Source organism: Homo sapiens, chromosome 9, assembly GCF_000001405.40.
Source record: "Homo sapiens chromosome 9, GRCh38.p14 Primary Assembly".
In the NCBI taxonomy this organism is placed as follows: Eukaryota; Metazoa; Chordata; class Mammalia; order Primates; family Hominidae; genus Homo; species Homo sapiens.
The window spans coordinates 77,055,804-77,070,793 of record NC_000009.12 but is presented as its reverse complement, the minus strand read 5'-3'; the positions used below and the strand labels follow the sequence as shown (position 1 = coordinate 77,070,793).

Sequence of the window (14,990 nt, the reverse complement as noted above, 5' to 3'; positions counted from 1 at the left end):
GCAGGAAGGTGAGGGGTGGAAGTTCACTCTGAACAAAGGTTGTCTAATTATGCAGATAAAGTCTCCCAGGAAATCTCTCAGCTGCCCTTAGAAGAATAGATGAAAACCATATCTGGGACGGGCGCAGTGGCTCATGCATGTAATCCTAGCACTTTGGGAGGCTGAGGTGGGTGAATCACTTGAGCCCAGGAGTTAGAGGCCAACCTGGGCAACATGATGAAACCCCATCTCTACCCAAAATACAAAAATTAGGTGGGCATGGTGGTGCGCACCTGCAGTTCTAGCTACTCAGGTGGCTGAGGTGGGAGAATCGCTTGAGCCTGAGAGGTCGAGGCTGCAGTGAGCTGTGATCATGCCACTGCACTTCTGCCTGGGTAAGAGAGCGAGACCCTGTCTCAAAAGAAAAATAAAAGTCTGTCTAGACATGGTGATAACTTTTAGTCTTTTTTCTTTTTCAGGTGTTAATCTTTCCTGGTTACTTGATGAGATTCCTGGGAAGATGGTTTAAGACCACTGCATTTCTTTTGGAGAGAAGTTTCCTTAGTCAGATAAGGAAATTCCAGAGAGATCCCTCTCCTACACTTGGCAGGGCGGGGAAGGGGGTGCGCTAGGGGTTGGGGAAGGAGAAGAAACAAGAAAAGATTAGGAAGTACTTGGTTCCGAGACACCTTTTAAAGTCTTCTGTTTCTTTCAATGCAAAGTAATCAGCATGCCAAAACACCATACCTTGAGGTGTCATTTTCTGAACTCCAGCAGTTGTGTTAAGTTTCTATTCTGCTATAACAAATTACCACAGACTTTTTGGCTTAAAACAACCCAAATCTATTTTGTTACAGTTCTGTATGTTAGAAGTTTGACATGGGTCTCATTGGGCTACAATAAAGGTGTTTGCAGGATTGTGTTCCTTTTTGGAAGCATTAGGAGAGAAACTATTTCCTTGCCTTTGAATACTATGATTCTGGGTGGGTGTTATTCTGGTGGCTCATGCCTGTAATCCTAGCACTTTGGAAGGCCAAGGTGGGCAGATCCCCTGAGGTCAGGAGTTTGAGACCAGCCTGGCCAACATGGCGAAACCCCGTCTATACTAAAAATGCAAAAATTAGCCGGGTGTGATGGCATGTACCTGTAATCCTAGCTATTTGGGAGGCAGCAAAATCGCTTGAACCTGGGAGGTGGAGGTTGCAGTGAGCTGAGATTGAGTCACTGCACTCCAGCCTGGGCAACACAGTGAGACTCTGTCTCAAAAAAAAAAAGAATACTATTAATCTGCCGATTACAATGGCTATGAAGATTATGTAGTAGCAGCCAGCAAAATGCTTATTATGTAATGTTCAGAGGAAAAATATTATATTTTTTATTTTCATATTATGATAACATTTTATGAGATAAATACACAGTGAAAATAAGAACAGAACTAAATGTATCAAATGCTAAAGTAATTTTTCTTAGATTAGAAGAGAATTTTTAAAGCCTTTTTACCATGCTAACACTAATCAAAAGAAAGCTGAAGTTGCTGTATTAATTTAGACAGTAGGCTTCACAACAAAAGTTATTACGGATAAAGAGGGGTGTTACATAATGATACAGGGTCAATTCTCTAAGAGACACAACAACCCTTAATGTGTGTGCATGTAAAAACAGAGTTTCAAAATACATGAGGCAAAAATGGATAGAAATGCAAGGAAAAATAAATGAATCCACTATTATAGTTGGAGACTTCAACACTATTCTGGTTCTATCAGGAATAGGCCCAGCATGTAGAAATCATTAAGGATATAGTTGAACTCAACAGCACTATCATCAACTGGATATAATTGACACCCATAGAATATTTCATCCAATACCAGCAGAATACATATTCTTTTCAAGCTCATATAAAACATTTACCAAAATAGACCACATTCTGGGCCATAAAATACATCTTAACAAGTTTAAATAGATAGAAATGATAAATCTCTGCTTTTAGACTACAGTGAAATTAAACTAGAAATTAATAACAGAAGATAGCTGGAAATTCCTCCAACTTGGAGATTAACAGCACACTGCTAAACAACCAAGATCACAGAAGAACTCTTGGCTGGGCACGGTGGCTCACTCCTGTAATCTCTGCACTTTGGGAGGCCAAGACGGGTGGATCACATGAGGTCAGGAGTTCAAGACCAGCCTGGCTAACATGGTGAAACCCCGTTTCTACTAAAAATACAAAAAATTAGCCGGGTGTGGTGGCACACGCCTGTAATCCCAGCTACTCGGGAGGCTGAGGCAGGAGAATTGCTTGAACCTGCGAGGCAGAGATTGCAGTGAGCAAAGATCGCACCATTGCACTCCAGCCTGGGCAACAAGAGTGAAACCCCATCTCCAAAAAAAAAAAAAAAAAAAAAAAAAACTCTCAAGAGAAATTTTAAAAAATTTAACTAAGTGAAAATAAAAATAAAACAACAAAATTTGTGGGATGCAGTGAAATGCTGCTTAAAGGAAAACTTACAGCATTGAGTATATATATTCATTTTATTTTATTTTATTTTTTGAGATGGAGCCCTCCTCTGTCACTCGGGCTGGAGTGCAGTGGCATGATTTTGGCTCACTGCAACCTCTGCCTCCCCGATTCAAGCAATTCTTCTGCCTCAGCCTCCCAAGTAGCTGGTTAATTTTTGTATTTTTAGTAGAGATCAGGTTTCACTGTGTTGGCCAGGCTGGTCTCAAACTCCTTACCTCAGGTGATCCACCTGCCTCAGCCTCCCAAAGTGCTGGGATTATAGGCATGAGCCACTAGGCCCAGTTGAATATATATATTTAAAAAGAAGGCCAGTCATGGCGGTCCACACCTGCAATCCTGGAACTTTGGGAGGCCAAGGTGGGAGTCCAAGGTGGGATGAGTTTGAGACTAGCCTGAGCAACACAGTGAGACCCCACCTCTATTTATTAAAAAAAATTTTAAATAAAAGAAGTAAGATGTAAAATAAATAATCTAAGATTCCACCTTAGGAAACCAGAAAAAGAACAAATTAAATTCAAAGTAGGCAGAAGAAAATAAATAATACAAATTAGGGTAGAAATCAATAAAATTTAAACCAGGAAATTGATAGAGAAAAATCAATAAAATTAAAAACCAGTTTCTATTAAGAGATCAATAAAATTGACAAGCCTCTAGCCAGGATAACAAAAAAACAAAATAGAGAGATAGAGACAAGACGCAAATTACTAGTATCAGAAATGAAAGAAGGAATATTACTACAGATCCTATAGATATTTAAAGGATGATTAAAAAAATACTATGAACAACTCTATGCCCACAAATTTGATGAGCTAGGTAAAATGATCAGTTTTTTTGAAAGACATAATCTGCCAAAACTCACACAAGAAGGAATAAACAATCCGAATAAACCCACATCTATTAAAGAAATATCTATTAAAGACCTTGTATTAGTCTGTTTTCATGCTGCTGATAAAGACATATCCAAGACTGGGTAATTTATAAAGAAAAAGAGGTTGAATGGGCTTGCAGTTCCACGTGGCTCAGGAGGCCTCACAATCATAGCAGAAGGTGAAAGGCACATCTTGCATGGTGGCAGACAGGACAGGATGAGAACCAAGCAAAAGGGGTTAGCCCTTATAAAACCATCAGATCTCATGAGACTTATTCACTACCATGAGAACAGTATGGGGGAAACTGTCCCCATGATTCAATTATCTCTCACCAGGTCCCTTCAGCAACTCGTGGGAATTATGGGAGCTACAATTCAAGATGAGATTTGGGTGGGGACACAGCCAAACTATATCAGACCTATGTCTATCATATTAATAACCTTCCAAGACAGAAATCAACAGTCCCAAATCGATTATCAGTAAATTCTCTCAAATATTTAAGGAAGAAATTGTGCCAATTCTCTACAAGTTCCTTCAGAAGATAGAATCAGAAGGAATACTTTCAAACTTATTCTACGAGGCAATCATTACCCTAATACCAAACAAAAAAAATTACAAGAAAAGAAAGCTACAGACCAATATCTCTCATGAACATAGATGAAAAAAATCCTAAAAAAATTGAGCAAATCAAATTCAACGAGTAAAAAAAATTATACATCACAATGAAATGACTTTTATTTCAGGTATGCAAGGCTGATTCAACATTAGAAAATCAATTAATATAATCCATCACATCAACAGGGCAAAAAAGAAAAATCACATGATTATATCAATAGATGCTGACAAAGCATTTGACAAAATTCAACCCACATTTGTAATAAGAACTCTCAGCAAACTAGGAATAGAGGACTTTTTAAAAATCTGATAATAAACATCTACAAAAAAATACAGCTAATGCAAAAGGCAAGAAGAGGAAATAAAAAAATATATATAAATTAGAAGGAAGAAATGAAACTATCTTTGTTCTTGGATGACATGATTGTCTAGGCAGATCATCCAAAAGAATTAGCAAAAATACTCCTAGAGCTAATACATGTTACAGCAAGGGTGCAGGATAGAAGCATAATATACAAAAGTCAATTACTTTCCTATATACCGGCAATGAACAAGTAGAATTTGAAATTAAAAACACAATACCATTTACATCAACATCCCCCAAAATGAAATAAAGTTGACCCTTAAACAGCATAGGTTTGAACTTGTCAGGTCTACTTGTTTGAGAATTTTCTTCTGCTTCTGATACCCCCGAGATAGAAACACCAAACCCTCCTCTTCATCTATCTCTTCAGCCTACTTGACATAAAGAACATGAAGATGACTTTCATGATGATCCACTTCCACTTGATAAATAGTAAATATATTTTCTCTTCCTTTTGATTGTTTTAATAACATTTTCTTTTCTCTAGCTTATTTTATGGGAGGAGTACAGTACAGTTGACCCTTGAATAATTCAGGGACATGACCCTCCACACATTAGAAAATCCAAGTATAACTTTTGGCTCCCCAAAAACTTACCTACAAATAGCCTACTGTTGATTGGAAGCCATACTGATAATATAAGCAGGCAATTAACACCTAAAGGTGTGCTAAAAATCACTGACATGAGGCAGATTGATTAATAGGAGAAAAGACATACACTTTTTTTTTTTTTTTGAGACAGGGTCTCATCTGTCACCCAGGCTGGAGTGCAGTGGCGCGAACTTAGTTCACTGCAACCTCCGCCTCCTGGGTTCAAGCGATTTTCCTGCCTCAGCCTCTCAAGCAGCTGGGACTACAGGCGTGTGCCACCTTGCCTGGCTAATTTTTTGTATTTTTAGTAGAGACGGGTTTCACCATGTTAGCCAGGCTGGTCTCGATCTCCTGACCTCACGATCCGCCTGCCTCAGCCTCCCAAAGTGCTGGGATTACAGGTGTGAGCCACCACACCCAGCCAGCATACACATTTATTTAACATGTGTACATAGGAGCCTTCAGAATGAAGACCCAAAGATACAGGGGAAATCGTCCATTTTTATGTTTAGGTTCAACAAAGTATGGACAGCTATGTAGAAATATAAGTGGACAAAAAGGGTCTGATCTAATGTTAATAGACAGCAAGGCCTGTCTGCCCGGATTCTTCTTGCCCTCTCTGAGCATGAGTTCCCGCCTTCTGAGTATGGGGCAGGGCCCTCTCTGGAATGGGGGTTTCATGACCTCCAGTCAAACAAGGTCCCTCAGGTGATTTCTTTATGGCTAGTTTTTACATAGAATATTTTTAGGTTTTATGGCTGGCTTTCAGGAAAAGGAGTTCTGGTTTCTAAGACCTGCCCGGGGAAGAGGGATTCTAGTTTCTACGGCTAGCCTCAGGAGAGAATGGGCCTGAGAGACAGGGGAGCAGGAGATGGTCAGAGAAAAACTTTTGCTTCTGAGGCTGCTGCTGAGACCTTCATTTTGGGGTATTGTTTTCTGAGCTCCAGGAAATATTTTGTATGTTATATAAGTTATATACTATGCTTACAATAAAGTAAGCTAGAGAAAAGAAAATGTTGTTAAGAAAAAAACGTATTTCTACATAGTTGTCCATACTCACTCTCACTTAGGCTGGAGTGCAGTGGCATGATGTCGATTGACTGCAGCCTCAAACTCTTGGGCTCAAGGGACCCTCCCACATCAACCTCCCTCCCGAGTAGCTGGGACTACAGGTGCACACCACCTTGCCTGGCTAACTTTTGTATTTTCTGTAGAGATGGAGTCTTACTATATTGCCCAGGCTGGTGGCAAAACTCCTGGGCTCAAGTGATCTGCCTGCCTCAGCCTCCCAAACTGCTGGGATTACAGGCATGAGCCACCATGCCTGGCCCAGAAAAATCTTAATAAAGAGAAAATACATTTACAGTTCTGTACAGCTACTGTAAGTTTATGAGGTTTTTTGTTTGTTTGTTTGTTTGTTTTGAGACAGAGTCTTGCTCTGTCGCCCAGGCTGGAAGGCAGTGACACCATCTTGGCTCACTGCAACCTCCACCACCCAGGTTCAAGTGATTCTCCTGCCTCAGTCTCCTGAGTAGCTGGGACTACAAGTGTAGCCCATTACTCCTGGCTAATTTTTGTATTTTTACTAGAGACAGGGTTTTGCCACATTGGCCAGGCTGGTCTCAAATTCTTGGCCTCAAGTGATCCACCCGCCTCAGCCTCCTGAAGTGCTGAGATTACAGGGATGAGCCACAGCGCCCAGCCTATGTGGTCTATTTACAAGATGAATCATCTGTCTGAAATGGCAGGCAACCACAGCTGCAGACCTCAATCTGCAGTACATATCAAGCAATGAACATTTTCTTGCAGTGTCATGACTTTTCTTTGCTTATTGGGAGTACTTCCAACATCACTAGTGGCACTATGTGTGGCTCCCATAGTGTTATTCAAGGTTTACAGTATTGCACTAAACATGATGAACAAATATGTGAGATCTGCAAGAAATCACTTTTACGGTGATGCAAAATGTACTAGAGAGATGAACTGCTCATGTGGAGATGATTAGTTAGCATCACACGGTGTTTTAAGCAGATACTCGAAATACTTGACCTCATCACAATAGCTTGAGGAGGTGGTTACAAAATTATTACAGTGCAGTATGTACTACAGTGTATTTTATAAGGTTATGATTTAATACCTCATCTTTATATTTGTTTACATTCTGTTGACTGTGAATGGTGCCACGTGTGGTCTGTAAGTGCTTGTGTGCATAAACTTTGATAAATTTTACCTTTTTATTAAAGGCTTTTGTTTATTTCATGGTAGTAAACGATAACATAGACTGGTATCTACATATATTTTATGCATCCATGATAAACCTATTTCCTATTTTTTTCATTATTTCTAGGCTACACAGTTCATCCGTGAATTTTTTCAAATTGTTTCAAATCTCAAAAAAATTTTCCAATACATTTATGAAGAAAAATCTTTGTAGGCCAGGTGCAGTGGCTCATGCCTGTAATCCTGTAATCCCAGCACTTTGGGAGGCCAAGGCAGGAGGATCACCTGAGGTCAGGAGTTCGAGACCAGCCTGGCCAACGTGGTGAAACCCCGTCTCTACTAAAAATACAAAAAAAAAAAAAAAAAATTAACCAGGCATGGTGGTGGGCACCTGTAATCCCAGCTACTCAGGAGGCTGAGGCAGGAGAATCACTTGAGCCTGGGAAGTGGAGGTTACAGTGAGCTGAGATCATGCCATTGCACTCCAGCCTGGGCTACAAGAGCGAGAGTCCATCTCAAAAAACAAAAACAAGAAAAGAAAAGAAAAAAATCTTTGTATAAGTGGACCCACATTCTTCAAAGCCATGTTGCTCAAGTGTCAACTATATACAACATGTACATAGTTTGATATATATACAAAATATGTGTTAATTTACTGCATATGTTATCAGTATAGCTTCTGGTCAACTGTAGGCTATTAGTGGTTAAGTTTTTGGGGAGTCAAAAGTTACACTTGGATCTTCAACTCCATTGCGGGGTCAGCACCCCTAATCCCCTCATTGTTCAAGAGTTGACATAGATATAACTTTAACAAACTATGTACAAGTTCTATATACAAAACTCTGATAGTAAAAAAAAACAAAGAACTAAATTAATGAAGACATATTTCACACTCATGGAGAGGAAGACTCAATATTGTTAAAATGTCAGTTCTTCCCCATGTGATCAATAGATTCAACACAATTTTAATCAAAATTCCAGCAAGTTATTTTGTGAATGTTAATAAACTGATTGATTCTAAAGGTTATACGAGATGCAGAAGATCCAGAATAGGCAACAAAATGTTGAATGAGAAGAACAAAGTCAGAAGACTAAAAAAAAGCCAGAGGATAAATACTTTCCAACTTCAAAGTTTACTATAGGCTGGGCGCGGTGGCACACGCCTGTAATCCAGCACTTTGGGAGGCTGAGGCATGCAGATCATGAGATCAAGAGATCGAGACCATCCTGGCCAACATGGTGAAACCTTGTCTTTACTAAAAATACAAAAATTAGCTGGGCATGGTGGCACGTGACTGTAGTCCCAGCTACTTGGGAGGCTGAGGCAGGAGAATTGCTTGAACCCGGGAGGTGGAGGTTGCAGTGAACTGAGATCACGCCACTGCACTCCAGCCTGGTGACAAAGCAAGACTCGATCTCAAGAAAAAAAAAAAAAGTTTACTATAGAGGCCGGGCACGGTGGCTCATGATTGTAATACCAGCACTTTGGGAGGCCAAGGCAGGTGGATCACGAGGTCAGGAGCTCTAGATCAGCCTGACCAACATGATGAAACCCCATCTCTACTAAAAATACAAAAATTAGCTGGGCATGGTGATGCGCACCTGTAATCCCAGTTACTCCAGCTATTCAGGAGGCTGAGGCAGGAGAATCGCTTGAACCAGGGAGTTGGAGGTTACAGTGAGCCGAGATAGCGCTACTGCACTCCAGCCTGGGCGACAGAGTGAGATTCCGTCTCAAAACAAAGAAGTTTACTATAAAGCTTCAGTCATCAAACAGTGTGGCACTAGTAAAAGAACAGACAAATAGAGCAGTGGAGAAGAATAGAGAGACCAGATATAGACTCACACAAATATAGTCAACTGATCTTTCACAAAGGAGCAAAGGCAAAGCAATAGAGAAAAGATAGTCTTCTCAACAAAATGATACTGGAACAATATCATTGGGCCTTTTTTAATTTTAAAAAAATTAATCCAACACCATTTTTAAAGAATATCACTCTCCCTCTCCCTCTCCCTCTCCCCACGGTCTCCCTCTCCCGCTCTTTCCACGGTCTCCCTCTGATGCTGAGCCGAAGCTGGACTGTACTGCTGCCATCTCGGCTCACTGCAACCTCCCTGCCTGATTCTCCTGCCTCAGCCTGCCGAGTGCCTGCGATTGTAGGCGCGCGCCGCCACTCCTGACTGGTTTTCGTATTTTTTTGGTGGAGACGGGGTTTTGCTGTGTTGGCCAGGCTGGTCTCCAGCTCCTAACCGCGAGTGATCCGCCAGCCTCGGCCTCCCGAGGTGCCGGGATGGCAGACGGAGTCTCGTTCACTCAGTGCTCAATGGTGCCCAGGATGGAGTGCAGTGGTGTGATCTCGGCCCGCTACAACCTCCACCTCCCAGCCGCCTGCCTTGGCCTCCCAAAGTGCTGAGATTGCAGCCTCTGCCCAGCCGCCACCCCATCTGGGAAGTGAGGAGCGTCTCTGCCTGGCCACCCATCGTCTGGGATGTGAGGAGCCCCTCTGCCTGGCTGCCCAGTCTGGAAAGTGAGGAGCGTCTCTGCCCGGCCGCCATCCCATCTAGGAAGTGAGGAGCGCCTCTTCCCTGCCGCCATCCCATCTAGGAAGTGAGGAGCGTCTCTGCCCGGCCGCCCATTGTCTGAGATGTGGGGAGTGCCTCTGCCCCGCCGCCCCGTCTGGGATGTGAGGAGCGCCTCTGCCCGGCCGCTACCCCGTTTGGGAGGTGAGGAGCGTCTCTGCCTGGCCGCCCCATCTGAGAAGTGAGGAGACCCTCCGCCCGGCAGCCACCCCGTCTGGGAAGTGAGGAGCTTCTCCGCCCGGCAGCCACCCCGTCCGGGATGGAGGTGGGGGTCAGCCCCCCGCCCGGCCAGCCGCCCCGTCCGGGAGGTGAGGGGCGCCTCTGCCCGGCCGCCCCTACTGGGAAGTGAGGAGCCCCTCTGCCCGGCCACCACCCCGTCTGGGAGGTGTGCCCCACAGCTCATTGAGAACGGGCCATGATGACAATGGCGGTTTTGTGGAATAGAAATGGGGGAAAGGTGGGGAAAAGATTGAGAAATTGGATGGTTGCCGTGTCTGTGTAGAAAGAAGTAGACATGGGAGACTTTTCATTTTCTTCTGTACTAAGAAAAATTCTTCTGCCTTGGGATTCTGTTGATCTGTGACCTTACCCCCAACCCTGTGCTCTCTGAAACATGTGCTGTGTCCACTCAGGGTTGAATGGATTAAGGGCGGTACAAGATGTGCTTTGTTAAACAGATGCTTGAAGGCAGCATGCTCATTAAGAGTCATCACCACTCCCTAATCTCAAGTACCCAGGGACACAAACATTGCGGAAGGCCGCAGGGTCCTCTGCCTGGGAAAACCAGAGACCTTTGTTCACTTGTTTATCTGCTGACCTTCCCTCCGCTATTGTCCTATGACCCTGCCAAATCCCCCTCTGCGAGAAACACCCAAGAATGATCAATTAAAAAAAAAAAAAATTAATCCAGGCACAGACTTTATACCTTTCTCAAAAATGAACTCAAAATGAATCATACACACAAATGCAAAATGAAAAACCATAAAACTTTTAGAATATAACATAAGAGAAAATCTAAGTGAGTTTTTCAATACAATATCAAAGGCACCATCCATAACAGAAGTAACTTATAGGTTGAACTTCATTAAAATTAAAAACTTTTGCTCTGCAAAAGACTCTGTCAAAAGAATGTAAGATATGACACAGAATGGGAGAAAATATTTACAAAATACATAACTGATAAAGGATTGTTTTCCAAAATATACAAAGGACTCTTAAAATTCAACAACAAGAAAATGAACAACCCAATTTTAAAAGGGGCCAAAAATCTTAACAGATACCTCATCAAAGAAGATATACAGATGGCAATGTCAAATAAGCATAGAAAAAGATGCTCAACATCATATCATTAGGGAATTGCACATTAAAACAGCAAAGAAATATCACCATATACATATTAGAACGGCCAAAATCCAAAAATCTGACAATACCAAATTCTGGGGAAAATACGAAACAACAGGAACTCTCATTCATTGCTGATAAAAATATAAAATGATACAGCCATTTTGAAAGACAGTTTGGCAGTTTCTTACAAAACTAAACATACTTTTAGTTTATGATCCAGCAGTCACACTCTCTGGTATTTGCCCAAATAAGTTGAAAACTTATTGCCCACATAAAAACGTGCACATGCATGTTTATAGTAGCTTTATTCATAATTGCCCAAACTTGCAAGCAACCAAGATTTTCTTCAGCAGGTGAATGGATAAAGAAACTGTGGTATGTCCAATGAAATGTTTAGTACTCAAAAGAAATGAGCTATAAAGATATAAAAACGTATGGATGACATTTAAATGCATATTAGTAAGTAAAATAAGCCATTCTGAAGAGGCTACATATTCCAACTATATGACATTTTGGCAAAGCCAAAACTATGGAGACAGCAAAAAGATCAATGTCAGGGGTTAGGGAGAAGGAAAGGATGAATAGGTGGAGCACAGATTTTTAGGCACTGAAACTACTCTGTATGATGCTACAATGCTGGATATGTGTCATCGTGCACTTTTAAAGTTATAGAATGCATAGTGTAAGTGGTGTGTATGTGGTTGGGGGAATTTGGGTGTATGGGAATTCTCTATACTTTCTGCTCAATTTGGCTATGAACCTAAAAGTGCTTAAAAATAAAACCAATCTTTCTTTCCTTCTTTCTTTCTTTTTCTTTCTTTCCTTCTTTCTTTCCTTCTTTCTTTCTTTTTCTTTCTTTCTTTCCTTCTTTCTTTCTTTCTTTCTTTCTTTCTCTTTCTTTCTTTCTTTCTTTCTTTCTTTCTTTCTTTCTTTCTTTCTTTCTTTCTTTCTTCTTCCTTTCTTCTTCTTTTTTTTTTTTTCTGACAGAGTCTTGCTCTATTACCCAGGCTGGAGTGCAGTGGTACAATCTCAGCTCGTTGCAACCTCCACCTCCCAGGTTCAAGCAATTCTCATACCTCAGCTTTCCGAGTGGCTGGGATTACAGGTGCTGGCCACCACAACTGGCTAATTTTTATATTTTTGGCAGAATTGGGGTTTCACCATGTTGGCCACGCTGGTCTTGAACTCCTGGCCTCAAGTGATCCACCCACCTCGGCCTCCCAAAGTGCTGGGATTACAGGCATGAGCCACTGTGCCCGGCCCCAACTAAACTTTTATATGTTGAAAAGCACAAAATTTCTGGTATTTACTAGTGCAAGAGATCAGCCTGGTTAACGTGGTGAAACCCCATCTCTACTAAAAAATACAAAAAATCAGTGGTGGTGGAAGCCTGTTATCCCAGTTACTCGGGAGGCTGAGACAGGATAATCACTTAAACCCGGGAGGCAGAGGTTGCAGTGAGCCGAGATCGCGCCACTGCACTCCAGCCTGGGTGACAGAACGAGACTCTGTCTCAAAAAACAAACAAACAAAGTACATTGTATTTAGGGCCTGGCACGGTGGCTCACGCTTGTCATCTCAGCACTTTGGGAGGCCGAGGCAGGTGGATCACCTGAGGTCGGGAGTTTGAGACCAGCCTGACCAACATGGAGAAACCCCGTCTCTACTAAAAATACAAAATTAGCCGGGCGTAGTGGCGCATGCCTGTAATCCCAGCTACTAGAGAGGCTGAGGCAGGAGAATTGCTTGAACTCAGGAGGTGGAGGTTGCAGTGAGCCGAGATCGTGCCACTGCAATTCAGCCAGGACAAGAGGGAAACTCTCCCTCAAAAAAAAAAAAAAAAAAAAGTTATATTGTGTTTAAATCCTTACTTCACCTCTTCCTAGTTGTGCAACATTGGTAACCTCTCTAGACCTCCTTTTCTTCATCTGTAAAATAGGGCAAGAGCACCCGTCTCAAAGGGTTGATGTGATAAAAACATTTCATTATCCCGATGAAATATTTAGTACAGTGTTATTGTGTCATAAATGCTTAAGAAATGTTAACAGCTGTTATTATATTTTATTTTATCTTCCAGATTTGGAGATCTCATTGTTTTTTATAGTATGCTGCTTTTGCTAACCATGGAAGCAGGTGTGTGATGTTTACAATTTAACTGATACCCTTCTGTCCAATGGAACTCAAAAGACCCATGCTGGAGGTAAATGTGAGCTATCTCACTTGTTTAGAGAACTTGAAAAATTCTTTCCATGTGAAATATTAATCTGTTTTTTTGTTCTTCAGAAAGCTACTATGCCTCAAGGCTTCAGGTGTTTCTTCTGTTTAGATCAACAGGTATTGAGTATTCAAACTTCAGTGGGGTTTAAAGTGAGATCAATTTTTTGAAAGTATAGTGCATTTTATTCAGTGAGTGGGTGAAGTTTGATTATTTACATTGCCTTAATACTTGTTGCTTTGTTCTCTGCCATGAGTACTACAATCCATGGGAAAGACAACAAGCGCTTGTACCACTTAAAAGCTTCACAGTGAGGCCAGGTGCGGTGGCTTATGCCTGTGAGCACTTTGGGAGGCCAAAGCAGGTGGATCACCTGAGGTCGGGAGTTCAAGACCAGCCTGACCAACGTGGAGAAGTCCTGCCTCTACTAAAAATACAAAATTAGCAGGGCGTGGTGGTGCATGCCTGTAGTCCCAGCTACACGGGAGGCTGAGGCAAGAGAATTGCTTCCACCCAGGAGGCGGAGGTTGTGGTGAGCTGAGATCATGCCATTGCACTCCAGCCTGGGCAACAAGAATGAAACTCCATCTCAAAAAAAAAAAAAAAAAAAAAAAAAAAAAGCTTTACAGTGAACCAGGACACTTTGGATTCCAAATGATCCTCATTGCTTTTTGACATCTGGATTACTTTGTTTTTTGAGATGCAAAATTTGAATGAAAACAAAGAACAAGAGAAAGTGAATACAAAATAACGAGGAACTGCAGGAACCCAAATGAAAACATCAGTTGCCCAGGTGCCTCCAGTCGTCTAGTGCAATTTGTTCCGTATGTCACACAAAAACGTGGATTTCATTTCCAAATGTCAAGTGTAATGCAGTGCTTTGTGAAAAACAACTACATTATTGATGGCACTCTCTGATAGAGTCTCACTGATGATTCATGTTTATCAAATTTATGATGCTGTACACTGGGAGAAAAATTAGCAAAGCTTTGAAAAACATACATTTGGGAGAGGAGGCAGCTCTAAACTTGATGGAATTTCTGACACTATTTCTGACACAGTTTTTATTTTAGCCCAGCTCTGCGAGTTGAGCTGATTAGAACTCGAGAAGATTTGCAAGACGAGGCAAAGAGATCAATTAAAAGACTATTAAAGAGATAATGGAGAGGTTTATAACACAGTCTTGTTCTTGAAGATTTTGCCAAGTCTTGGGTAGTCAAGAAACCCTTCCTAGAGGGCAAGTGGAATTTCAACACTGAATTATTTTAGGAGGGTTTCCCATGCACAATTCTTAGCACACAGTAGGAGTTCAACAAACATTAGCTGAATCGGAATCTAAACTTGTAATGATCACCTTCCTAGCAGAAATATAGCACCTGGACTCATTATTACGGCTTAATTTTTAGTGGTCATAAATACAGCCTACCTTTCCAAGTAACTGTGGATAAATTCCTAATGACCTTCTGCTACTTCTCACTAAACAAAGTTCAATACTGTTTTCTCTCCTCCTTCCCCGTTCCCCCGTTGTTCTCTCCTTTCATCTCTCTCTCTATTTCTTTCTCTTCCTTTCATTTAGGGTGGTAAGTGACACACACGGGAACTTCATCCTTGTGAATAAGACTCAGCATCAGAGAGTTTGCTGATCCGTTGGTTATTGGATAATGGAGTTGGGGGATGCTGCCTATGTTGGGGTGAT

At 41.7% G+C, this 14,990-nt stretch overlaps 1 annotated feature.

Moving 5' to 3' along the window:
* Positions 6,574-6,774: a silencer, noted in NCBI's record as "peak7269 fragment used in MPRA reporter construct". NCBI's record gives its function as "represses an SCP1 promoter by STARR-seq MPRAs in K562 erythroleukemia cells {active_cell/tissue: K562}" and the evidence as "EXISTENCE:reporter gene assay evidence [ECO:0000049][PMID:32103011]".